General features: G+C 35.6%; 1 protein-coding gene and 1 pseudogene across 16 annotated transcripts in view, besides 3 other annotated features; one reads left to right on the top strand and one right to left on the bottom strand.

Moving 5' to 3' along the window:
- Window positions 1-27,562, top strand: part of USP47 (ubiquitin specific peptidase 47) — a 119,916-nt gene that overhangs the window by 8,012 nt on the left and 84,342 nt on the right. For 2 of the 16 annotated variants that reach the window (NM_001372100.1, NM_001372103.1), the window contains exon 2: window positions 23,817-23,932. The exons of 9 other annotated variants lie outside the window; for them this stretch is intronic. Coding sequence is in view for 5 of the 7 variants with exons in the window: in NM_001330208.2 (NP_001317137.1) it covers window positions 23,817-23,876 (60 nt within the window). In the remaining 2 variants the exon portion in view is untranslated. Of the gene's footprint in view, window positions 1-20,516; window positions 20,741-23,816; window positions 23,933-27,562 lie in introns of all 16 variants that reach the window. 5 more of the 16 variants (NM_001330208.2, NM_001372096.1, NM_001372095.1 and 2 more) reach the window with 4 other exon arrangements.
- Window positions 6,507-6,876, bottom strand: H3P33 (H3 histone pseudogene 33; annotated as a pseudogene).
- Window positions 6,782-6,891: an enhancer, noted in NCBI's record as "active region_4461". NCBI's record gives its function as "activates an Ori minimal core promoter by ATAC-STARR-seq in GM12878 lymphoblastoid cells {active_cell/tissue: GM12878}" and the evidence as "EXISTENCE:reporter gene assay evidence [ECO:0000049][PMID:35858748]".
- Window positions 20,906-21,712: an enhancer, noted in NCBI's record as "H3K4me1 hESC enhancer chr11:11892436-11893242 (GRCh37/hg19 assembly coordinates)". NCBI's record gives its function as "activates a minimal SCP1, AML or CMV promoter by ChIP-STARR-seq in primed H9 embryonic stem cells {active_cell/tissue: H9 hESC(primed)}" and the evidence as "EXISTENCE:reporter gene assay evidence [ECO:0000049][PMID:30033119]".
- Window positions 21,713-22,517: an enhancer, noted in NCBI's record as "H3K4me1 hESC enhancer chr11:11893243-11894047 (GRCh37/hg19 assembly coordinates)". NCBI's record gives its function as "activates a minimal SCP1, AML or CMV promoter by ChIP-STARR-seq in primed H9 embryonic stem cells {active_cell/tissue: H9 hESC(primed)}" and the evidence as "EXISTENCE:reporter gene assay evidence [ECO:0000049][PMID:30033119]".

Consider the following 27,562-nt stretch of genomic DNA (forward strand, 5'->3'; position numbering starts at 1 on the left):
GATGCTTAGAACATCCTTTTCAACTATTTTGAAACTTTCTTTTTTTCTCTTTGCGAGCTAGAGAGAGAATCTTTGTCCCCAGAGTTCTGAAATTCTTGTATTATGTAGTTATATGTCTGTTTTTTTAATTCATTCTGCTAATCCTGTTCAATCTGGAATTTATCTCATAAATTCTGCAAATTTTCCTTAAATAATTTCTTTGATTTCCTCTCCTTCATTTTATCTCTCCTCTCTCTTTTGAATTCCTGTTGTTAGATGTTGGGCCTACTGATGGGTTTCTCTAATTTTCTTGTCTATTTTCATCTATTTTCCATTTCTTTACATTTTTTTTCTTTGCTTTCTGGGAGATTTTTCTCAACTTTGTCTTCCAGTTTTTCTACTAAGTTCTTATTTCTGCTATAATATGTATAGTTTCCATTCCTTTTTTTGAAAAAAAAATCCTATATTTGTTTTATGGATGCAGTGTCTTATCTCTCTTAGGAAATATTGGTAGTTTTTTTTTTTTTTGTCTGCATATTCTTTTTCTTCCAAATTTCCTTTTTCTGTTTGTTTGCTTTGGTCTTTATCTTTCATATTTGTTGCTTTCCTTAGATGTCTCATGATCCTTGGCAGTCTGTGCTTATTTAAGAGAGAGGCCCTAAGCTGAATGGAAGCTCTGCTTTTGTGTGATTATGGTTTTTTGTGTAGGATGGTAAATCTGGATGATTTCCTTGCAGACTCCCAGTCTTAGTCCATTTGGGCTGCAAAAACAAAATACCATAAACTGGGTGGCTTATAATCCACAGAAATTTATTTTTCACAGTTCCTGTGAGTGAGGCTGGGAAGTCCAAGATAAAGGTGCCGGCAGATTTGGTGTCTGGTAAAAGCCTGCTTTCTGGTTCACAGAGCAGCACCGTCTCGCTGTGTCCTCACATGGTGGAAGGAGACAAGGCAGCTCTCTGGGGCCTCTTTTACAAGGGCACTAATCTCATTTATGAGGGCCCTGCCTTCTTGATCCAGTCACCATCCAAAGATCCCACTTCCTAATATCATCATATTGGCAAGTAGGGTTCAACATGTGAATTTTGGGGTAAGGAGACATAGGCATTTAGACCAGGGCACCCAGTGACACATCTTTTCTTTTGTGCTGGATTGTTTTCCCAGACAAAATTTCTCATCTTTTGCCAGGAGAGAACAAGCTTGAGAGCTGAGTAGGAAAAGGGGATATGGGTCTCATCTTTAAGCATGCAGATTAACCTAATTCCCCAGTTTTCATTATGGCACCCTTCAAATTCAATTGAGCATGTTGTCCTCTAGTCTAGATATATCCTGTTATATGCTCTCTAGAGATTGTTTAGTCTTTTATCAGAAAGGGTTGAAGAGTAGAAGAGGAGGTCTGGGGATTTTCACTACTTCTTAGATTTTGGTCAGTTCTAGTTTGGACTCCACTCTCGTTCCCAAAGTGTCTGAAACTTCCAGTTCCTGAGCCCCTTAGTTTATTTTTTTGTTTGTTTGCTTTAATGTATTTACACAAGAATTGCGGAAAGAGTACAAAGTTTCCGTATACCCTTCATCCAGCTTCTTTTTATCTTAACATCTTATATAACCATAGAACGATGATCAGAAGAAATTAACCTTAGTATAATATTATTAACTACACTACAGAATTTATTCAGATTTTACCAGTTTTCCCTCTTATAGTTTTTGTTTGTTTCAAGATCCAAATTTAGGATACCACATTGCATTTGGTTATCATATCTCCTAGTTTCCTTTTATCTGTGATAATTTTTCAGTCTTCATTTTCAAGATCTTGACACTTTTGAAGAGTACTGGTCAGTTATTTCATGGAATGGCTCTCAATTTGGGTTTGTGGATGCTCTCTCATGAATAGATTGAGGTTATGAATAAAAAGAAGGATTATCACAGATGGGATGTGTTCTTCTTAGTGCATTATGTTGGTAGGGGGGCATGATGCTGATACGTACTACTGGTGATGTTAACCTTGATCACTTGGGTAAGAGGGTGTCTGCTAGGTTTCTCCACTGTGAAGTTACTATTTTTCCCTTTAATAATTATTAAGTACTTTGATTTAAAGTTACTCAGCCAGGCAGGTCAAACTTTAAAAATAAAATAGCTTTTAAAAATCAAATTCTTTGAGACCATGCAGATAACCTATTTCCCCCTAAATTTCTGCCCACTAATTTTATCATCTATCTGTGATCTTGCCTGCAGCAATTATTACTGTGGCTTAATAATAGTGATTTTCTATTTCTCTCATTATTTCTACATTTATTAATTTAAATTCTTCTGTGAGGAGAATTTGTCCTTCCCCCCACCCCCATTTATTTACTTATTTATTTGTATCAGTATGGACTTATGGATATTTATTCTTTGGATTATAATCCAATTCTATATCATTTATTTTGTTGATCAAGCTGTTCCAATTTTTGCCAGGGGGTGCTTTTTCTGGTGGGCTTCTGTGCTCATCCTTGCTTTTTGAGCACTCACTTCCTTACTTTCCAACACCACATAATGCTTCAGCCCATCTTATGTTTTCCTTGCCCCAACCCTGGAATCAACCAGTTCTCCAAGGAGTTTAGAGGTCTTTTGGTGTACTAAATGTCAGTGTGATATAAACTAGGTGTCTTTGCTTTCTTCTAGGCTAACATGGAATTCAGCCTTCCTAGTTGTAATTGTCATTGCCACTTATTCTGTTTTCTAGCTTTTAAAATTGTGTTTCTGTTTGTTTGGGGTTAATAGTCTTTCAAAAATTTCTTAACTGGGAGGCATCAGAGCTAAATCCTTATATTCAGTCTATCCTCTTTAACCAGAGATTCTTAATGTTTTTGTCTCATGCCCCAAGCCAGTTTTGTACAAACCACATTCCACTACATTAGTTGCTGTTCCTCAGATGTGCTGTTATATGTTCATGTGTCACTTCTGTGCCCTTGCCCTGACTGAATACTATGAAGTATTTCTTTTTGTCCTGCAGTTTTTAAGGAGTTTTAAATGGGTGGACTTTTATTTTACATGAAAATGACTATTTGAATAATTAGGATTCTTGCCTATCTTCTATTTTCTCTTTTTTGGATTAGTCATATAGATTTTTTGTCTTTTAGTGCCCAGATACTGTAATTTTTTTTTTGCCAAATGGAAAGGAGGAGTTCCTGCATCTCCAGAATAGTAGGGTATGGTGATAGCCCAAGTTAGAAAGAAAAGATTGTATCAAAAACAGGGGTTGTAAAAAACAGAGCATTAAATATATATATTTAAATACCTATTGTAAATTAAAGTTCCAAAAGACATCTACTTTTAGAACAAATTCCTTGGTATTAAGGACCTTCTTCAGTTCAGGCAGCATGTGTAGGTGGCATGATATGCAGAGGCATATTCTGTTATGAGGTTTATGACACAGATTTTCAAATCTAACATACAGACATTCTCCATTGTGGAAAAGTATTTGGCAAAATGATTGTGCTTGGCAGTGATGGCAGATGACTGACAAAAAATGATGTGATCTTTCACATCGACGTTCTTAAAGAATATGTGTTTTCCTGAGCCTGGTTTTTACTGGTATAGTGTAAGAAGGGATGGATGTAGATGTAGTGTGAGTAAATAGATGCGTCCTCTCTACCTTACTGCATACTTCCATTTCCTTTGTCCTTAGGTGTGGAAGTAATAATTGCCCTCTTCTTTCATTTAATGAAACTAAACTGAAACATGCATACATAAAGTATCCATGTATATGAATGTTTTAATTTATGCAAAACTGTTATTGATATAACCTGCTGTTGAGAGATTACAGTTTTTACAAAAATTACTGAGATATATGTCTCAAGTTTTGATGTTCTTTAAAACATGCTCTTAAAATCCTATCCAACCGGCTGGGCCTGGTGGCTCACACCTGTAATCCCAGCACTTTGGGAGGCCGAGATGGGTGGATCACGAGGTCAGGAGATTGAGACCATCCTGGCTAACACAGTGAAACCCCGTCTCTACTAAAATAAAATAAAATAAAAAAAATTAGCCGGGTGTGGTGGTGGGCGCCTGTAGTCCCAGCTACTCAGGAGGCTGAGGCAGGAGAATGGCGTGAACCCAGAAGGTGGAGCTTGCAGTGAACCGAGATCGCACCACTGCACTCCAGCTAGGGGGACAGGGCGAGACTCCGTCTCAAAAAAAAAAAAAAAAAAATCCTATCCAACCAGCAAAGTCCAGCCTGAAAATTCTCCTCTTTCAACCTGATTGCATATTCTTAATCCTAAAATCCTACAGCACCTTTGGCATTTGAAAAATTCTGCTTCTTTATTATAAGTTATTTGTTATTTCAGTTAATACCTTCTATTAGATGGGAGGTTCCTCAGAGTCAGGACACTACAGCTGGAGTCCCTAGGTTCAAATACCAGCTGTCTGACATTGGACAAATTCCTTAACCTGTCAGTACCTTAGTTAATTAAGGATAATTCTAAGTACCTCCTAGCATTGGTGGGAAGATTAAATGAGTTAATACATGTAATGTGTCATGCACACAATAAGCTATCAATAGATATTAGCTATTACCACCTTCTGTTACTACCATCATTTCTATCATTACCTTCATTTCTATATCCTCCCCCAGGGGCCATCACAATGTGCTGTACATTGTTGTTATTCAACAAATATTTGTGGATTAAATGAAAATGAAATTATATTTTAGTTATGCAAGTCATTTGAAGTTGACAGCTGATTACAGCCTGTCAGCTACTTATCTTAATGTCTACAGCACTAATCCTAAATTATTGTTAGATTTGACAGGTTCTCTTATATGATCAAGTAAGACCTATTGTTACAGCTTTGAAAATTGGAACACATAGGCCGGGTGTGGTGGCTCACGCCTGTAATCCCAGCACTTTGGGAGGCTGAAGCAGGCGGATCACGAGGTCAGGAGATCGAGACCATCCTGGCTAACACGGTGAAACCCCGTCTCTACCAAAAATACAAAAAAAATTAGCCGGGTGCAGTGGCGGGCGCCTGTAGTCCCAGCTACTCGGGAGGCTGAGGCAGGAGAATGGTGTGAACCCGGGAGGCGGAGTTTGCAGTGAGTGGAGATTGCATCACTGCACTCCAGCCTGGGCGACAGAGCGAGACTCCGTCTCAGGAAAAAAAAAAAAAGAAAAGAAAATTGGAACACATAACAAAGTGAAAGTATTAAAAGTAAAAGAAATTTTGAGTTCAGCTAATGAGGTTCTGAGAAAAATTAGTTTGGTTTATATAGGTGGTTGTCAATTCACTAGATTAACACATTTCTTGTTTATTAGGATTCAGTGCGAAATGTTATTTTAAAGCAGGATCCATATTAAGACAGTTTCTGAGAGAACTTGATGTGTTTGATAATTTTGATTTTCTGTAGCTCTGGTGTAGAACTAGTTGACATGGATAGAAGAGACTGTCCCTGTCAGTGGTACTATGATGATGCTTTAAATTTGATGCTGTGTAGTGGACTGCTTCTATACTAATAATTTTCAAGTATTAGTGTAATATGCTTATATTAAATAAAGTGACTTTCTAGTAGAGAAAAATTAAAGAAAGCCTAAGTGACATAATTCAGAAAAAGGTCTAGAACTTAAATCTTTCTGTATAAAGATGTGAATCCAATACCTGTGGTAAGGTTATAGGTTTAACTTCAGGAAAATCATGAACCTCATTTACAACCTCAGTGAAATTTTTTAGTACAACCAAAGCATTCTAGTTTACTACAAATACCTTTCTTGTTTTAAATACTTATTTGTATTTAATAATGAATACACTTTCATTGTTTTTAGTGTAGATTTCCATGGCTCCTGATTTTATAGAATTCATTCAGTTAAACATTGAGTTAGTAGCTGCCAAGAACTACTACAGAGAGATTCAAAGATGAATAAGGAATCTGGCCTAGTTCTAGATCCTAGTCTAGACTAATGGAAGAGACAAACAGGTGACCAGACAAATATATAATGTGGAAATAAAGTGGGACCATAGAGCGGGGAGCAGCTGGCTTTCTCTAGGGGATTCTGTGAGAATGTAATCACAAAGGCTGACTTGATTATTATGTAGAGAAGGAGGAATAGTGTTCAAAACAAGAAAGTTTGTAGTGCATTTTAGGAAGTGGCAAAAAATTTAGTGTAGATGCATGGGGCGCCTGGTTCTGGCAGATTGTGTCTAAAAATTCCAAAGGCTTTGTGTGCCCAGAAAGTGTTTAGATTTTTATTGTTTAGACATTAGGGGGCAAAAAATATTTTTTTCCCCAGAAAAAGTCAACAGATTTGTTTACAATTGTTATAAAATTTAGTTGCTGAAACTTGTTCATGGAAACATTTTTTACTTGCTGGAATGTTTTTTGTCCCCAACATTAATACCAAAAATTTGCATACAAATCAAAGTGGGGGAAAAACTTGCTAATACCTTATTCTCTCATCCATTTATTTCCATTTGCAATCATATAATTAGGTACCTTTTTGTTTTTTAAGAATAAAATATTTCTTTTCATAATACATTTTAGCACATTTTCTACATATGAGTCTTTTTGGTGGGATATCCTTAGGCATAATTGTTACATATTTGATATGGATAAAACAAAGGTGGGTGTCTTCAAATAGGCTAACCAGGTAGGCCTCACTTGCCTTTAGAAAAGTGTCAGTGGCTGCACTCTGGAAGTATAGATCTGTTTTGAAGTTCTCACAACTGATGCTGGAAGGGAAATTTGCAAGTGAGAAGTTCAGCATACATTTGATAACTTCTGATCTGATTTTCACTGAGAGCCACAGTACAAGGCTTATAATGATGTGGTTTCTTAACCTTTCTAGTACACAACATATTCTTGTGAGTGGCTTTTGTAGCTAGTTACTTCCTGTGTGCTTTACCACTGGCATTTTTGTGGGCATTTGGCTTTGTAGGAACTGTAGTGTAGAGAACTCCCTATTTACTTCTCTTCTTGGCTGAAGCTCTGCAAGCTAAAGGTGACACCGTGCTAGGCAGTGATGACTGTTGGTGGCAGTCACAGTGCAGTAACTGAGAACACCATAAGGAATGTCTTTAATTTGAGAATTAATGGAATCTTCCTAAGGTTATCCACAGTGCTCCAAATAATATTTATTTAATAAAAATAAAATATTTAATAAAGAGAAGCTCTGGATTATAAACCTAGTTCCAGGTTGCATTAATAAGTAGAATTTTTGTATAACTCATCTCCAAAAGATGCAGCATGTTGCTTTAGTAAATATAAATAAGCTATCAATGAATTTATATACATTTCCTTCATTTTATAGTGTCTGTCCTTTTATGTGTTTAGGTATTTTACTTGTATTGCCTTTAAGTTTACACCAGTTTATATAATCTATTATTTTATATCTATTTATAGTACTTTGTGATAACAAGAGAATTGGTGAAAAATTATATATTTAACAACCACAACTTATTAAAATATATCTGAGAAATATTGCTTTGACATTTTAAATTCGTATGTCTTGAAATATTTATTTACCTTTAGTTATTTACCATTAACACAAAACAAATATAATTTTAAGAGTTCTAAGAAAAGTAGACGTGACACAAAAATGTTTCTACAGTTGAGTAATATGATTTTAACACTGGAAGGGAGGCAGTAGTTATGAGGCAGGAGAATAGAGTCTGGACTCAGGAGCTTAAGGCCATTTCACGCTTACTTCTTAGAACTAAATTGAAAGGAAAACCCTCACTTTCCATGCCTAAGTAACAAAAGAGCCGGAGGCTACTCCCTTTGCAGACCCCTACCTTTTCTGCGTGGCAGATGGAAAATTGAAAGTACCTCTGGTTGGTTGCAGAAAGCAACCAATCAGACGTTTGCAAAGGAGTGTAACTTTGTAACTTCGCTTCAGCCTCTGGTTGGTTGTTGGCAAACAGACTGATTACGGGCCAAATCTTCATTTGCATAGAAGTGCAGCTTTGTAACTTCACTTCAGCCTCTGATTGGTTGCTTTCCACAACCAATCAGATGTTTGCATAGGAGAGTGACCTTTGTAGCTTCACTTCAGCCTCTGATTTGGCACCACTTCATTTACATGAGGTGAATACCAAGTGACCAATGGGAAACCTTTGGCAGGTATTTGGACCCAAGAAGATTCTGTATCCAGGCCCTTTAGCCGCTGCTGGTGCAGTTCCCATTAGTGGAGTGTACTTTCGTTTTCAGTACATCTCTGCTCTTGTTGTTTCATTCTTTTCCTTGCTTCTTTTGTACATTTTGTCCAATTCTTTGTTCAAAACGCCAAGAACCTGGACATGCTCCACCGGTAACGGTTAAATACTAATATTATAGCCCCTCCATTTTCTCGGTAAGAAAAACTATAAAGGCCACAGAAACTCATTAAGTTACTTAGGGTCTCAGGTAATGAAAGGACATAAGTGAGACTTTTTGTTTTTTAAATCAGTGTTACTGAGGTATTATTTATATATAGAAAAATTCATCCTTTTAAGGCATACAGTTTTGTAAGTTTTGACAAACATACAGTTGTACAACCACTACCATAGTCAAAATATAGAATATATCCATCATCTCAGAAAAGTTCTCTGTTGTCTCTTCATCACCTCAAAAAAGTTCTCTGTCGTCTCTTGTAATCAGTTCTCTTCCCCTTCCTCCAGGCTCTGGCAACCACTGATCTGTTTTCTGTCCTCATGTTTTTCCTTTTCCAGAATGTCATTTACATGGAGTCATATAGTATGGTAGCATTTTGGGTAGGAATTTTTTCACCTAGCATAAAGCATTTGAGATTCATTTATGTTGTTGCTTCTATCAGTAGTCTATTCCTTTTTATTGCTGAGTGCCACAGTTTATCCATTTACCAGCTGATAAACATTTGGGTTGTTTCCAGTTTTTGGTGATTCTGAATAAAGCTACTATAAATATTTGTATACAAGCTTTTGGGTGGACATATGTCTTCATATGGTAAGTGTATGTTTAACTTTGTAAAACACTGCCAAACTCTTTTCTGAAATGGCTGTACCGTTTGTGCATTCTAGACAGCAATGTATGAGAATTCTGGTTGTTCTGTATCTTTGTTTACTTGGCAGTGTCAGTTTTTTTTAAGTTTAGTTTTGTTTTTTAACCATTTTATTAAGTGTGTAGTGGTGGTATCTGTTTGTGCTTTTAGTTTGCATTTTCCTAACGACTGATAACAGAGCATCTTTTCATGTACTTAATACTGGTTTTTATTAAGCTTAATCCAGCATCCTTTATGTATTACATATTTAAGGTTTTGCTAGGTACTGATAGAAGGGAGAGGAATAAAAAGAGTATCCTCAAAGAGTTTGTGATTTATATAGGGAAAACTGGTAATAATGTTAACATGATGCTAGTTACAATTTTGGTAGGCTCTTTGAGAAAGGGATTTACGTATTGACTGGCCTTGTGGAAAGGACAGTAGTTTGGGAATCAGAAAACTCAAGTGGTTTGACTTTACCTTAGTTGCTTAACCTTTCTGGTATTTTTCTTCTTTCATTTGTTAAATGAAGGAGTAAGGCCGCATAAGGTATAAGGTTTGTCGCTAAATTATGTATCTACATAGTTTTTCTTTCCAGGCAGGTTTTGAAACCTTGTGAGAATGCCAGTCAGAAAACAAAAGATCTTTGCAGATGTTCCTCATCTGATGAAATTCCTCTTACCTGCATCCCCAAAAGATAATCTTTTGAAAATTTAAATATTGAAATTTTAGTATATAAATTTCATTATGTACAAGAATTGCATGTTTCTTAAATGTATTTTAAGGGTAGTAACTGATAGTTCTCTAATAATAACTTATTTTTGTATGGTATTACTATAATTCATAGAGCATTTTCAAGAAGTTCTCCCCTTCGATAGAAAAACTATGTGGATGGCCAGGCACCGTGGCTCACGCCTGTAATCCCAGCACTTTGGGAGGCCGAGGCAGGCGAATCATTTGAGGTCAGGAGTTCAAGACCAGCCTGGCCAACATGGCAAAATCCCATCTCTACTAAAAATACAAAAATTAGCTGGGAGTGGTAGCACACGCCTGTAGTTCCAGCTACTTGGGAGGCTGAGACAGAAGAATTGCGTGAACCCGGGAGATGTAGGCTGCAGTGAGCCAAGATCGCGCCACTGCACTCCAGCCTGGGCAACAGAAGGAAAAAAAAAAAAGAAAAACTGAGTGGAGGATATATTTTATTTCTTTTCTTATTTTATTTATTTATTTATTTTTTTGAGATGGAGTTTCGCTCTTGTTGCCCAGGCTGGAGTGCAATGGCGCGATCTCGGCTCACCACAACCTCTGCTTCCCGGGTTCAAGCGATTCTCCTGCCCACCCTACCACTGAGCGGAGGATATATTTACTTTTAGGACCCTGAGAGTGAGAGATAAGTTAAATGATTCGTGTAGGATTACACAGCTAGAAGAAAAGTAGCCACTTTGACTTAAGGAGTCTAATCTAGATCTTTTGACTCTGCAGTCCATTGTTCTTGTACCATAGATCACTCTAATAGGAAATAAACAAACTTTAAAAAGTGTTAAGTAACGTTAACGTTTCTTTCAGATGTATAATTTCATGTTTGAAGTATTAAAAGAATGTAATATTCTTAAGAATTACTGTCCATGCTTTTAAATAAAATGCATGGTAACAGATAATATAAACAAGCTCCCTTGATTTAGTAATAATAAGTAGAATGTTCATAACCTATAAACAAGTCAGTTATTTCACAAGCTGAGTCACTGCTTGTCAACAACAGCCTACTCACAGAGGAAATCTTAGCTGTAATCAAAAATAAAGATAACAGAAATAGTAAAGGACGTATTATTTCGCCTCCTGAGAATAGTTTTGGTTTCTAAGTTTAGATACCTACAGTATATTATCAGTGGGTTACCCATTGCCAATACTAGAACAGCTATTAAAAGGAGCAAGGCAGAGTGGGAAGAGTATTAGGATAAAAGTGAGAGGAAAAGTAATACATTACAATTTTAATGCTACAAACATGTCAGCATTATACAGTCATCAGAAGGCCTCTGTTATTTAGAAGACCTGTGTTCAAATGTGACGTTGGGCAGGTCACTTAAGGTTTCTCAATTTCTTTTTCTTCATCGATAAAATAAGGAGCCTCATCTGATGTTCAAAGGTCCATCCAACTTTATTTTATTTTATTTTATTTTATTTTTTGAGACGGAGTCCCGCTCTGTCGCCCAAGCTGGAGTATAGTGACACGATCTTGGCTCACTGCAGCCTCTGCCTCCCAGATTCAAGCGATTCTCCTGCCCCAGCCTCCTAAGTAGCTGGAATTACAGGCATGTGCCACCATGCCCAGCTAATTTTTGTATTTTTTAGTAGAGACGGGGTTTCACCATGTTGGCTAGGGTGGTCTCGAACTCCTGACCTCGGGTGATTCGGCTGCCTTGGCCTCTGAAAGTGCTGGGATTACAGGCGTGAGCTACCACACCCGGCCCCATCCAACTTTGAATGTAGTTGTATGTTGAGTGTGATGAGCCATCTGGTTGGTTGGTTTTTAATTGTCAAAATAGGTCAATCATAGTTAAATGGATTGTAAACTATTCTTTTAAAGTTCTGAAACTTTGCATTTTTAGTTTCCTATTAATTGATTGAGTACTTGATGTAATTTGTTGCAACAACTAAAAATAAATTACATAGGATCAAAGGAGTTTTATTTATTTTCTAATTTTAATATACTGTGGGGTTCTGGGAGCTTATTTCATGACTGTTTTAGAATAAAATGGAATGCATTTACCTGAGGGACACCCTAATACTAGAGCACAGAGGGCAGGTATGAAAATAAGTATTTTTACAAAATTTTAAAAGCATACTTTATCCAAGTCAGCCTAGTTATGTTTTATTACTTGAGTGTTTTTATAGTATATAATTTAGAAACAAATGTGATATAGTGACATGTAATTTATAACATGTTTATTAATTTAAATTCAGAAAATTCATACCATGATACATTGAACAACATGTGCTAAAACAAATTATCACAGAATTTGTATTTAACTAGAATAATAAAGCAAATCTACTTATAATTTCTTTACTGCTTTAGGCTTTTAGAACAGGTACAAAGTCTTTTTTTTTTTTTTTAAGGAAAACACACATAGGATTTGAATTAAAAGAGCCAATTAAAGCAGAGCATGATTATCATCAAACTTCACTTAAGTAGTAAAAGCCCTTATTGCACTAACAAATTCACAATTTAAAATGAGATTACAGAATTTTCTGTTTCAAAATCAGTTTCTAGAAATTAAGTTTTTAAAGCACACTTTATGCTTCCAAAAGCATCAGCTATAATACATTATGAAATTATTTTTCTGAATGAATATATTTTGCTTACAGAATTCTGTGTAGGACTTAGATTTTCTACTTCTGTGGTTTGTTTTTAGTAGTAAAGATTGTAAAATAGCTGTTTTCATTTCTTAGCTAAGCACAATCGTGCATAAGAATCTGCTTATCTTATTATATACATTGTGGGTTTTTTCATGTTCTTGTTGTGTCTTTATGATTTTCTGAAGTATTAGTGTATTCCTGACAAGTCTCCTCACATCCTTTGACATGTTTGTTTTCCTTGAGTATATAAGCAAGAGGAAATAAATTACATGTTTTTAGAAAAACTGATATAAATCCTAGATAAGGAAAATAAAATTTTTTGAGAAATTTGAGCCTACAGCTAGATATTCTGGATGTAATTTGACAGTGGTAGAAAAGCTAAGGCTAAGAAGACTTTTCTCTTCTTTTAATTTGTATAAACGTATGGGATACAAGCATAATTTTTTTTTTCTTTATTAGAGATAGGGTCTCGCCATGTTGCCCAGGCTGGTCTCGAACTCCTGGGCTCAAGTGATCCTCCCACCTTGGCCTCCCAGATTATTGGGATTACAGGCATGAGCCACCACACCCAGCCTACAAGTGTAATTTTGTTACATGCATAGATTGTGTAGTAGTGAAGGCAGGTATTTTAGGGTATACATTGCCTGAACAACATACATTGTACCCTTTAATTAATCTTTCATCATCTACCCCCCTCCCACCCACTTAGGGCTAAGAAGACTGAGCCATTTAGGGGAAATTGCAGAGGGATACTAGTGGGAATGGAGTTGAAGATAAAGTGGATACTAAGAAAGTCTTGAATTTTTATATTAGTATAGTTTGCATTATTTTCCGATTATAATGATTTATAGAGATTGTTTATTAGAAAGGCTTGATTATTTACAGATGTTGTGATTTGATTTTTAAATTGACGAGTCATGGGAAATGTGGTATATTTTAATGATGTACTTTACTTCAGTTTTCATCCACTTTAAAATGGAAGCATTCAAAACATGAAATCACAAAAATAGAAAAGCAATTTGATGCTCAAAAACTTAGAAACTGAAAAAAGGCTAAAAAATTATAACTTGATGATGTTTTTACTCTTAGTTCTCTTGTATTTACATTTATTCCTAAATCGAAATACACTGAGTAAAAAGTTCAGTCAGATTTTTAAAAAATATGATCAGACTTGTCATATTTAAGAACACAGCTTTCTGCTGCTTAACTTCTATAGCTAACACTTTAGATTTTAAGTAAACAACGTGAATTTTAATACAGAAAGTAAATTTTTTGAAGGGATCCTTGAGTATTAAGCCAATTATAACTGTTCTTTAATCTTTACTGTCCACTGTCAGTATTTTAGTAGTATTTAGGAAATTGGACATCTTTATTTAAATTTTCAGAATACCTACAAATGCATTCTTAGTTATTTGATTATTTCTCATGCTATGTAACTATCTTTTTAATGTTAACTTTTACATTGAATAAATCATTTATTTATTTTAATGTTTAAGTTTTTCCACATTTGGCCAGTGCGAGCCCTTTCACCTGACTTTATATGTCCTCTTAACGTACATACACCATTCTTTGAGCGCTTATTTTCTGGCAGTACAAGGTATCCCAAATTATTGTAATTTCTCAGCCCTAATTCTAAGATTAGCCATTTCTGCAAAGACCTCTAGGTTCTTTTTCTGGAGAATGATACTTAGAAATTGAGATCTGGGTTCTAATTGTACTACTATTATGGTGATAGCATTGCTTCTAGTCCTTTCAGTGGAAGGAGCTAGAAAATATGCATACAAACACATATGTGAGTGAGAGCTATATTTATTTTATATCTATTTCTCTCTAATATGTATGTATATATCCACTCAAATTATATTAATTCCTTTAATAAACAGTTAAAAAAATTTTTTTGTATTACAAGAAAAATGTAGGAATTTATTTTATGCTTATATTTATTTATACATATTTATAATATGCCTATATGTAGTATGTGTTTGTAATGTAGACATGTTGGAAACCTAGTGTGTTGGCAGTTTTGCTTCTTCCACAAATTTATGGAGTTAAGCTATTTATAAAAAATTTATTTTTTTAAATTGTAAAATACACATAACATAACATTTACTGTCTTAACTGTCTTTAAGTATGTACAGTTCGGTGGTACTAAGTACATTCTTATTGTTGTACTACCATCACCATCATCTATCCACAGAACTCTTTTCATCTTACAAAACTGAAACCATGTACCTATTAAATAACTCGCCATTCCTCTCTGCCCCTAACCTCTGGCAACCACCATTCTACTTTCCATCTCGGTGAATTTGACTAGTGTAGATATCTCATATAGTATTTGTCTTTGTGACTGGCTTATTTCACTTAGCATAATGTCCTCAAGGTTTTTTCATATTGTGGAATTGTTTCAGGATTTCATTCCTTTTTGAAACTGTGTATGTGTGTATATCATATTTATACATTATAGAATATAATCTTATTTTTAATGTAAAGTAGATTTTTAGCATTTTTATTTCTATTTAGATAACTTTCTTTAGCCATTTTCTTTTAGGTTAGGTCTGCTGGCATCAAATCTTTTCATTTTTCTTCATCTGAGAATGTCTTGATTTCTCTATGATTCCTGAAGGATATTTTCACTGGAAATGTAATTCTGGGTTGACAGCTCTTCTTTCAGCCCTTGAAGTGTTGTGCCACTTCCTTCTGCCTCTGTTGTGATGTGATCAGAGAAATCTGCTGTCATTTGAATTGTTTTACCCTTATAGTTAAGATGGGTTTTCCCCTAAATACTTGCAAAAATCTTTCTCTTTGTCTTTAGTTCTTAAGGGATTTGATTATGATGCGTCTTGAGATGGATTTCTTTAGGTTTACCTTATTTGGGGTTTGCTCAGCTTCTTGATTATATAGGTTAATGTCTTTTGCCAAATTTGGGAAGTTTTCAGCAGTTATTTCTTTGAGTACTTTTTAAACCTGCCCTCTTTCTCCTTTTCTTCCCAGTTCTGAATGACATGAATGTTGGATCTTTTGTTATAGTCCTACAGGTGCTTGCCACTGATCATTGTTTTAGGGTCTGTTTTTTCTTTATTGTTCAAACTGGGTAATTTCCATTGTTTTTATCTTCAGTTCACTGATTCTTTTGTCATCTTCATTCTGCTGTTGGGCCCACCTAATTAGTTTTCATTTCGGTTTTATCTGTTATTTATTTGCTGAGACTTTCTGTTTTTTTTCAGGCGTTTAGTAATTGCTTGTTGAAACATTGCTGGATCTTATGGTAATACTATGTTTAGTTTTGTGAGTAACCACCAGACTGTTTTCCACAGTGGCTGCACCATTTTACATTCCTACCAGCAATGCACAAGAGTTCCAGTTTCCCCACATCCTTACCAACACTTTTTATTTATTTTCCTTATCTCTCTCTCTTTTTTTCATTTCAATGGCCATCTTATAATGGGTGTGAAGTCGTTACTCTTTGTGGTTTCTGATTTGCATTTCCCTGATTACTGATGTTGACCATCTTTTTATGTGCTTGTTGGCTATTTTTACATATTCTTTGGAGAAATGTTTAAGTTCTTTGTCCATTTTTTAATCAGGGTGTTAGGGTTTTTCTGTTGTTATGTTATAAGAATTCTTTATATATTTGGGGTATTAATCTCTTATACAGTTTGCAAATATTTTCTCCCATTCTGAGTTGTCTTTTTACTCTGATAGTGCCCTTTGATGTACAAAAGTTTTAATTTTGATGAAGTCCAAGTTACTTATTTTTCTTTTGCTGCCTGTGTCTTGGTATCATTTCCAAGAAATCATTGCCAAATCCAGTGTCATGAAACTTTTTCCCTTTGTTTTCTTCTAAGAGTTTTTATAGTTTTAGCTCTTACATATAGGTCTTTATCTATTTTTAGTTAATCTTTGTAGCTATTCATTTCCCTCCTATCTCCTTTGTTAAAGAGAAAATAAAAGCTTCATGACCAAAGATTGAACACTGAGTAACAATTTTACTATTAAACTGGGAACTAGATCCAATAACAAAGGGGTGGTGGTCAGGATAAGACTCAAGGCTCAGGAGAGGGAAAGTGGTAGGTTTTTTAAGAGCTGAAACCCATGAACAATCTGTTTCATATCAGATAAGCAAAGTCTGTCTGTGCCTGATTAGATGGCATATGTGAGCTAATTGTTTAGGCATTGTGTTCCCCTGAGTTGGTGGTGGTTCTTCTGGAAAGTTGTCGTGGTGATGAACATGATTATGGTACTAGGTGAAGATGGCACTATGGTAGTTTAGTAGAAATCAGGCATGTTTCACTGTCATCAGTCTAGGTGGCTAGGTCAGGATTCATCACCTTCCTTCTGGGGTCACTTTCTTTTTTCCTATAATACATTTTTTAAGGAGTTTCTTTAATGATAATCTATTGGTGACAGAAATCTCTGTTTTTGCATTCCTGATAGATATTTTTGCTGTTTATAGCATTCTGGGATAACAGTTATTTTCTCTCACAACAATGAAAGTATCATGCTCCAGTCTTATGGCCCACACTTTTTCCTATTGACAAATTAGGCATTAGTCTAGTTGTTTCTTTTAAGGTAATCTGTTGTTCTCTCTGACTGCATTTTTTTTTTTAATTTTTAATTTTTACTTTTATTTTTTGAGACGAAGTTTCACTCTGTTGCCCAGGCTGGAGCTCAATGGTGCGATCTTGGCTCACTGCAACTTCTGCCTCCCAGGTTCAAGCGATTCTCCTGCCTCAGCCTCCCAAGTAGTTGGGATTACAGGTGTGTGCCACCACACCCAGCTAATTTTGTATTTTTGGTAGAGACAGGGTTTCACCATGTTGGTCATGCTGGTCTTGAACTCCTGACCTCAGGTGATGCGCCCACCCGGCCCTTTCAAAGTGTTGGGATTATAGGCGTGAGCCGCTGTGCCTGGCCCTCTCTGACTACATGTAAATTCTTCTCCGTTTATTTACTCTGCTTGAGATTTGTTGAGATTCTCGGCTCTGTGGATTCGTGTCTTTCATTGGTTCCTGAAGGGTTCTAAGCCATTATTTATTTAAATATTCCCTCTGCTTTCATTCTCTCTCTTCAGGATAGATATTAGGTCTTACTCTATCCTTCATGTCTCTTAATGCTCTAATGTTTTACATCTCTATGTCACTAGAAGTTTAGAAAATGTCTTTAGTTCTCTTATATAGAGTTCATTAATTCTTTTTTCAAATATTTTAAATGTGCTGTTAAATTTTGTGTTTTTAATTTCTATTATTTTCTAGGAATTCTGCTCAGACTCAATTTTGAACCACTTTTTTATTTCTTGAAGCATGTTAAACATTTATTTTATAATGTAACTGATAGTTTCAATATTGAAGTTTTTGTGGATGTCATCTACTGTATTTTATTCTTAGCTGACTCTCTTTAATGGTACCATGTTTACACACAGTGATTTTTTAAAAATGTGAGCTGTTCATTTTTCTTATACTTATGAAAATAATTTTTGTGGAAATTAGTTGCACTTTGGAATATATGTGATTCCTTCCAGGAAGAATTTGTGATTGTTTCTGCCAGGTGCCTGGGAATATCACTATTCTAGAACCATTTTCAAAGCAATTCTTGGCTTGGAGTTTTGTTTTTTTTTTACCACCAGGTGGTGTGAATTGGGGCTGCAAATCATCATGAAGACCAGCATGTGGTTGCACGTTCTTAGGAGTACCCTCCTCCCATCAGCTTCAAGGTTTTAAACAGGCAGTCCTCTTTCAGTCTCTAGGAAGGAGAGGTTGAAAAATAGTAGAATAGACAATGTTTTATTAACTAACTTTCCATTTGAGATAATTGTACATTTACTTGTAGTTTGGAGAAATAAAACAGATATCTCATGTACTCTTCACCCAGTCTACACTAATGGTAACACCTTATGGACTATAATACACTATCAGAACCAAGATATTCACGTGATATAGTCAAGATATAGAACATTTTCTTCACCACAAGGATCCCTCATGTTGCCCTTAGTAACCACACTCACTTCCCTTTCACTCCCTATTCCCTCTTTAATCCCTGGCGATCACTAATCTCTTCTCCATTTCTATACTTGGTCATTTTAAGAGTGTTGTAAAAATGGAATCACAGATTGTAGAGTCTTTTGGGGTTGGTTTTTTAAAATTTAGTATAATTTTCTGGAAGTTTTTTCAGGTTGTTACATGTATCAATAGTTGGTTCCTATTTATTGCTTAGTAGTTTTCCATGATATGGATGTACTATAATTTGTTTGACCATTTAGTTGATGAAAGACATCTGGGTTTGCAGTTTTGGGCTGTTGTAAGTAAAGCTGCTATAAGCATTCCTGTACTGGTTTTTATGTGAACATAATTATTTCATCTGTGATAAATGTTGAAAAGTGCAATTTCTAAGTTGTATGGTAATTGTATATATAGTTTTTTTTTTTAATTACTGGACTGTTTTCCAGAATAGCTGTACCATTTTACAGGAAGGCATGAGAGATTCAATTTCTCTACTTTGCCAGTATTTGATGTTGCTATTTTTTTTTTATTTTAACCATTCTGAAAACGATGTGGTAATATTTCATTTTGGTATTAATTTGCATTTATCTAATGGTTAGTATGTTGTACATCTTTTTATGTGCTTATTTGCATCTGTTTATACGCTTCATTGAAATGTCTTTTCATGATTTTTGTCTATGTGCTAATTGGATTGTTTGCTTTTTTTTGTAGGTTTTTAGAGTTCTTTATATATTCTAGATACTAATCCTTTGTTGATTATGTGGTTTGAAATATTTTCTCCCAGTCTGTAACTTTTAGTCCTTAACGGAATCTTTGCAGAGTAGGCATTTTAAATTTTGATGAAGTCCAGTTTATCAATTTTTCCTTTTATGGATTATGATTTTGGTGTCAAGGCTAAGGACTCTGCCTAGCCTGAGTACTGAGAACATTTTCTCCTATGTGTTTTCCTAAAGGTTTTATAGTTTTATGTTTTCCATTTATGTTTATGATCCACATTTATGTTAATTTTAATATAAGATGGAGAGTTAGGTTGAGAATTTTTTTTTTTTGCTTCTGGATGTCTAAATGAAATATTACAGCATCATTTTTGGAAAGACTATTTTTCTTCCATTGAGTTGCTTTTGTACCTAGTCAAAAATCAGTTGTGCATATTTGTGTAGGTCTCTATTGTGACATTGATCTATTTATCTCTCTACAAATACCACACAGTCTTGATTACTGTTGCTGTATGTTAAATCTTAAAATCAGGTAAACTGAGACCTTTCACTTTATTCCTTTTCAATATCCTTTTAGTTATTCTGATTCCTTTGCCTTTCCCTATAAATTTCAGGATAATCATCAAAATTTTCAAAAAGTCTTGCTGGGATTTTGATAGGATTTGCATCAAACTTTGCTATGGTTTGAATGCTTGCCGTCTTCAAAATTCATGTGGAAATTTAGTTTCTATTATGATAGTATTAAGAGATGTCAAATACCTTTAAGAGGTATTTAGATCATGAGCGCTCTGCCCTCATGAATGGACAGGAGTGGGTTCATTATCGTGGGAGTGGGTTCACCCTCTCTTTCACCCTCTTTTTGCTCTTGCACCATGTGATGCCTTCTGTCATGTTATGATGTAGCAGGAAAGCCCTTGCCAGATGCTGGCATCTTGATATTGGATTTCCTAGTCTCCAGAACCTTGAGCCAAAACAATTTCTGTGCTGGTAATTGGGGTATTTAGATCATTTATATTTGATGTAATAATTAATATATTAGAGCTTAAGTGTGACATTTTGTTTTTTTGTTTTCTGTTTCTTTTTTTTTTCCCCTCTGTTATCTTTTACTTGTTTTCCTGTGGGTTATTTGAACATTTGTCTATTTTGATTAATTTATAGTATTTTTATTGTTTCCTTTTATATAGCTTTCTTGGTGGCTTCTCTAGGTGTGACATAATGTAAACCAACTTATCACAGTCTACAGGTGTTATTTTACTAGTTCAAGTGAAATGTAGAAACCTTATTTCCCTTCATGTATTTTTACCCTACCCTGTTTATAATTGTGTTAAATATTTTCTTGACTTGTAACCACATCAGACAATATTTTAGTTTTTACCTCAACTGTCAAGTCTTTAATAAAAACTCAAGAGAAGGAAAATGTATTATATTTAGCTATATTTTTGCTGTCTGTATTCTTTTTTCCTGATGTTCTAAGGTTTCTTTGATGATTTCTCTTTTGTTTAAAGAACTGTCTTTAGCTATTCCTTCCTGTAGGGTAGTTCCACTGGATGCAAATTCTTTGAGTTTTCCTTCATCTGAGAATGTCTTGAATTCCACTTGATTATTAAAGCAATTCCTGGGTCGTTCTTGAAGGGCATTTCTGCTGGTTATTGGATTCTGGTTTGACGGTTATTTTTTGTAAGCACCTGAAAAATACTGTGCCACTTCCTTCTGGCCTCCGTGGTTTCTGGTAAGAAAATTATCCCGCTTTTCTGTTCTTTCTCTTTTGATTCTTTTTCCTCTCTTTGTTTTAATTTTAATAGTTTCTTGTGCTGTGTCTTAAGCATTCATTCATTCATCTACATCAGTGCTTACATTTGTTAATCCCATCCATGTTATTTATTATCTTAGATACTTATTTTTTTTCTCTTCATATGGGTCATAGTTTCCTGCTTCTTTGCATGTTTGTTTATTTCCAGTGGGATGCCAAACATTGAGAATTTTACCTTGGTGGGTCCTGGATGTTTTTTATTCCTGTAGATATTCTTGAGTTTTGTTCTTAGATGCAGATGGTTTATTTGTAAACAGTTTGATCCTTTTGAGTTTTGCTTTTAAGCTTCCTAAGGTTGGACCAGAGTAGTCTTTAGATTAGGTCTAATTTGGTCCCAGTACTAAGACAGTACCCTTTTGAGTACCCTTATCTGATGCCCTGTGCATTATGAGATTTTAAAAATTCTGGTTGGTGGGCAGCTGGGTGCAGTGGCGCACGCATGTAATCTCAGCGCTTTGGGAGGCCGAGGCGGATAGGTCATGAGGTCAAGAGATGGAGACCATCCTGGCCAACATGGTGAAACCCCGTCTCTACTAAAAAATGCAAAAATTAGCTGGGCATGGTGGTGCATGCCTGTAGTCCCAGCTACTCGGGAGGCTGAGGCAGGAGAATTGCTTGAACCCAGGAGGCAGAGCTTGCAGTGAGCTGAGATCGTGCCACTGCACTCCAGCCTGGCAACAGAGCGAAACTCCCTCTCAAAAAAAAAAAAAAAAAAAAAAAAAAAAAAAAAAAAAGAATTCTGGTTGGTGGGAACCTAAGTGAGCTCCAGGGATTCTTTTCCTGTGGTTCTTTCCCTTGCCTCAGGCACTCTCTTTACACACATATGCTGATGAGAAATCAGCCAAACACTCTAGGGGGATGCACTGTAGGTCCCTTGGAGCTTGCTGTTTGCACAGAGTGTCCAGCTTTCTTCTGCCCTGTATCCTGCCCTGCGAGTTGTAGCTCTTTCCACCCCTTGAACTCCCAACTCCTTTAACTCAGGGAGATTGCTGGACTCCACCTGCACTCTCCCTCCCTGCACTGCAGCCTAGAAGGTGGCTTACCTTTTTTGTTTCTGCTTTCACAGGGATCATTACCTGTGTTGCCTCTTGTTCAGTGTTTGAAAATCATTGTTTCATACATTGGGAGATAAGGAGCACCAACAGGATTGGAATGTTAGATAAGATGAGAGAAGGACTTGATTGAGAAATGAACTATTCTGATTATCTTTTGCTATATAACAATCTGCCCCCAGATCTAGTGACTTTTCTCGTAGATGTGCAGTTTGGGTAAGGTTAGGCTGAAACAGCTTGTTTCTGCTCTGCTAGGCATCAGCTGGGGGCAGCAGAAAGGCTAGGGGCTGGAATCGTCTGAAAGCTTCCTCACTCAACATGTAGGTGGTTGATGCTGGTTGTCTGCTGAGATCTCATTTGGGATGTGGCTGGAACATCTACACATAGTTTTTCCAGTGGCTGCTTGGCTTCCTTCCTCACAGCATGGAGGCTGGGTTCTAACAGTAAGGAGCTGAGGGCCAGGAGGAAGTTATTACACCTTTTCTAACCCAGCCTTGAAAATCATGCTGTGTATTACAGGGAGTCACTAAGTCTGGTCTATATTAAAGGGGACTGGAATTAGCCTCCTACTTTTGCTGGAGGCAAGTTAGACTCCTACTTTACGTAGGGAAGCAAGTCAAAGAATTTGTGGATATGTTTTAAAGCCCCACAGCAGTGATACTTGAGCAAAGGAGGTGAGGACATCCAGGGAAAAATATTCCAGGTACATGGTACAGATACATAAAGACCCTGAAGGATGATGGATGCCTGATAGTTTAGATTTGCTTATAGATTAGTTACCACTGCACAGCATCACCTCCTTGAGAGCAGGGTGAACAGTGTTGGGAGAACAGTGTTGAAAGATAGTTGCAGTTCAACAATTTTTTTGTGAAAGGCACCATGTATTAAAAATTCTAAAAATGCGTACATATACTTTGATCTAGTAATTCTTTCTTTGAGAAATTATCTTAAGGAAAAATTATACAAACAAGCAATGCTGTAGTGAATGTTTGGAGGGGCTTAAATGCCCATTAATAGCAGATTAGTTAAATTATGGTTTGTCTATATAATGGAACACTGCAGTTTTTAAACTGAATGTTTTGGCATACAAAAACAATGAGTATTGAGGGACAAGAAGTAGATTTCAAATACTGGTATATGAAATTGTCCTATTTGGTTAAAAGTACTCTCTCTGTATAATAAATATTATATGTGCATAGACTGGAGAAGATGAGATGAGAGCAATGGTGGCTATTTTAGAGTTGCTTTTCAGAAAACTGTATGTTGCTATTATAACAGAAATATATTTCTATTGTAAAAGTAAAAGCGCCTTTCAAGAGAATATGTTGATTTCTTTTTATTAACTGAAGAAGGGAGAATAAGACAAAATATGTACAGAAAAAGTGTAGAGTGATGTAAAATCAAGATTTTTCAAGAGATTATCTCTTGATTATAGGTTACTTTTATTTCCTTTTATATGTTTTTGTATTAATTGTAATTTAATTGTTAAACTCATAAGAAGGAGATATATATTAAAATAGTTGTGAGGGATATTGTTAAGCAGCCTTGTTTTAAGAGTAGCTGTCGTGAAAAATTCAAATTTTTAGAGACTAGCAAAATCAAGAGATCTCTTGGTTTCCTTTAGTGCAGAGAACTGCAGAATTTCTTTACTGGACACAAAATATTATGTGACTTACAACATTTGATTTACACACAATTCTTAAGCTATCATTCTTTATTAAAATGGCTATTTCCATATTTATCTTATTCTTTATCACCTCTTTATCATAGATTTTTAGTAACTTTGCACATTCATGAATAAAATTCTAGATGATGTACTAATACTTTAATTAATACATATTTTATTGCAAAAATGTTTTTAGGTTAATTGTTCTCATTTCACTGTCTTTTCCCTTTATTTTATATAAATAATTTGTAATTCATTTTGTTCTTATATACCATAGGATGTGTTTTGGAGATGCAGACAAAATATCTTTGATGAAATGAAGAAGAAATTTTTACAGGTAGACTGCTGATGTAATTGCTTTAATGTGATAATCAGCAGAGCAAGTAACAGCATGTTAGTATTTTTATTTAATATCAAGGCATGTCTTAAGTTTTATGCTTGTTTGGCTATTTTATTTCTACCCAATTTTAATAATAAAAAAGTCACCTTAAATGAATTTGTATCTGATAGTACCTTGTTTTTAACTAGTGAATGAGGGAGAAAAAACTGATAGAAAAACTAAAGAACCCTTTGTTATGATGTTGGGTATGATAGTTGCCTATTTTTCCAGATATATTTATTTTCTGAAATATTAATAATTTAGGAAATTAAATCATTTAAAAATTTACAAAGTCAAAATCCAGAAATCCTATTACTATTGATTTCCTCAGAGCCTGTGTGCACTACAGACTTAAACTTCCATGTGATGTAGCATTCTGGTCTAACCTTTACTTAATACTTGATTTTCCTTCAGTCCCTTTGCTCTGTTTTTTCCCCAGAGTTGCTCCTTTAATCTCTCTTATCCTTCCCAAGTGTGGCAACAGACCACTTAGAAAAAGATCATGTAGATAACATCAGAGTTGGCTGCAGTTTTGAGGTGGGATGAAGGGAGTATCTTAAAAATAAAGTCTCTTTTTTTAATGTAAGTTAGGACCTTCATTAATAGCCTTAGAAATGTTACTTGTTAAAATAAAAATGAAGAGTCTAAATGAAGCTGATACTTTTTTTTTTTTTTGAGACGGAGTTTTGCTCTTATTGCCTAGGCTGGAGTGCAATGGTGTGACCTCGGCTGACTGCAACCTCTGCCTCCTGGGTTCAAGCAATTCTCCTGCCTCAGCCTCCGGAGTAGCTGGGATTACAGGCATGCACCACCATGCTGGCTAATTTTTTTATTTTTCGTAGAGACAAGGTTTTGCCATGTTGGCCAGGCTGATCTTGAACTCCTGACTTCAGGTGATCCACTCACCTTGGCCTCCCAAAGTGCTGGGTTTACAGGTGTGAGCCACCGTGCCTGGCAGCTGATACGTTTTATAAATTTCAACCAACAAAAATATTCATACTATCAATTCTGTTTTAAAATCTGTGGCAATACATTAATCTTGAACTGTGGATACCCAGATGGGAATGCTCTAAGGCCTAATTACTTAGCTTGTGGCAGCTCCTGTACCAAAAGGGAGAGAAAATTGACTTATTGTGTGTGTGTGTGTGTGTGTGTGTGTGTGTGTGTGTGTGTGTGTGTGTTTAAAAGCTTGTAACCATAATACTATTATTTGCAATAACATTGAAAGGAAGAATGTCTTAGAGAGCATGGGTTAAATTTAGAGGTAAAGCGGTACCTTCATAATTTTAAAATACTTTATCTTAATTTTTTCTCTTAGAAATATTTAAATCTTGATAATTTTGAATTTTGATATTAGCTTATATTCTGTATGCTGATGCCATTCTGAACATATACGATCAATTTTAAACCTCAGTGTGTATTCTTTAATAAGAAATACATAGGAGTATTTTTTTGAAACAAAAATTATGATGTTATCAGAGAACTCAGATTTGAGCTTAAAACTATTGGGAATGTCAAGAAAAGGAGACAAGATGACTTAAGAGGCAAGCATCCCTTCAGCGGGCTCTAAAATGTCTTAGAACTATGCCAACGACTTCTAGATGTTTCTAGCAGTTAAGTGTATCTTTGGAAGAAAACTGTTTTCAGTGCTTTTTATCCCAATATGTTTCACCTTTTATAAACAAGACTATGGTTTTATTCTTTCTACTTTTTTTTTTCTTTGAGACAGAGTCTTGCTGTCGCCCAGGCTGGAGTGCAGTGGCACGATCTCAGCTCACTGCAAACTCTACCTCCCAGGTTCAAGCGATTCTCCTGCTTCTGCCTTCCAAGTAGCTGAGGTTACGGGCGTGTGCCACCACACCCAGCAAATTTTGTATTATTTGTAGAGACAGGGTTTTGCCCTGTTGGCCAGGTTGGTCTGGAACTCCTCACCTGAAGTGATCCTCCCACCTCGGCCTGCCAAAGTGCAGTGATTACAGATGTGAGCCACCTCACCTGGCCATTTTTACTTTTTTAAAAAGGATTTTTTTTCTTCAAACTTTGCTAGGAAATCTAGCTTTGTTTCTGCAATGAATGTAGCCACAGAGCACTCTATTAGCTTATACAGTAAATATAACTGCTGTTGACTTTCCCCTTAGTCTCATAAGTGTAATATTGCTATGAGTTGCCTGTAAAATAAATAGTTTCAACTTTAGGATTTATACCTTTTTTTGTACTTGGCTAGATTTTCTTTGTAGAAAACTTTGTCCTCTTCAAATAGCGCATCTAAACTACATTAAATGTTTTTCTAAATGGAACATGCTGTAGGCTTTTCTAAAATTTTACACTTGTTTTCTCTTACCTCAGGTTCATCAGAGAACTCTTGACTAAAAATTTTTGCTCCCTTCCCTAAATCATGATGTATCCTCAGATGCCTTTTCTTAATGTTGGATGTAGTACTTAAATGAAAAGTAGTACCTTTCCCTCCCTACCAACAGCACCATCATCATACTTTCCCCACTTGAACTTGGATGTGCTCGAAGGTGTTTAGCTATATTTATTTTTTATCTATTACTATGTAACAGTGGACCCTAAAGTTTAGTGACTTAATAGGGCATTTAGTTTATTTGTTCAGATTTCTGTGGGATGGGATTGGGGCCAGGGCTCACCAGCTATTCAGTTCTGCTCCAGGTGGCATCATCTAGAATTACTTGGCTCCATTAAGTTGGTGGCAGTCATTGAATGGAACGTCCAAAAGGCTTTTCTCATACATCAGGCACCTCAGTGTCTCCACCAAGTGGCTGCTTCCTCTGAATGTGGATTTCTAGGGCTTCCTCACAGCATGCTGATTGATCCCAGGGTAACTGGATTTCTTACATGGTGGCTGGGTTATAAGAGGGAATGTTTCCAAGAAATACAAAAGCAGAAACTGCTGGTTTCTTAAGGCTCTGCCTTAAGTTACACACACAGCGTGACTTCTGTCACATTCTCTTGGTCTTAGATGGTCACGTCAGATTCATGAGAAAAGGAAAAAAAAAAGAATGGCAAAGAATTTTTTGCTATCTTTAATCCACCTCAAGACGTAATTGTTTTTACCTTTGGGCATAAGTAGGATCAGTTTTGGTTAGGGCTACAAAGAAATTAAGAAAGATAGCTGCCCTAATTTCCCATTTCCAGAAAAAACCTTTTTACATTTAAATGTTTTGGAAATGTTTCCTGCATGTTTAATTTATATTGTATAGGTTTTTTTCTCTTGAAAAGCTATTTAAGAAAAAAAAAAACTATTGCCATATCTTATTGGTGGTATCTTAAAATTGCAACAACAAAAAAATTGTTTTCTTCTCAGTTCCCAAACTGGAGAGGGGAAAGGAGGAGAGAAATTTTACTTTAGTGTGATTACTGTTAGCAATGGTGATTCTAAAATTCAGATGAAGTCCACATGTTATATTAAAGTATAGGTGAAATAAGAATGGGCCCAGAAAGTTGAGTGTAAAGTAGAATTTAGCAGTGGCTAGCTTAGAGCTTTAAAGAAGAGCAGAGCTTTTTATCTGTTTAAATCATCCACAACAGAATTCAAGAGTAAAATGTAATTTGCTGAGAAATTCTATGTATAAGGATTTTAAGGAAATAAAGTATATGAAGTTTTATGTAGGTGTTCATCACAG

The sequence above is a fragment of the Homo sapiens genome, chromosome 11 (genome assembly GCF_000001405.40).
Source record: "Homo sapiens chromosome 11, GRCh38.p14 Primary Assembly".
Classification (NCBI taxonomy): Eukaryota; Metazoa; Chordata; class Mammalia; order Primates; family Hominidae; genus Homo; species Homo sapiens.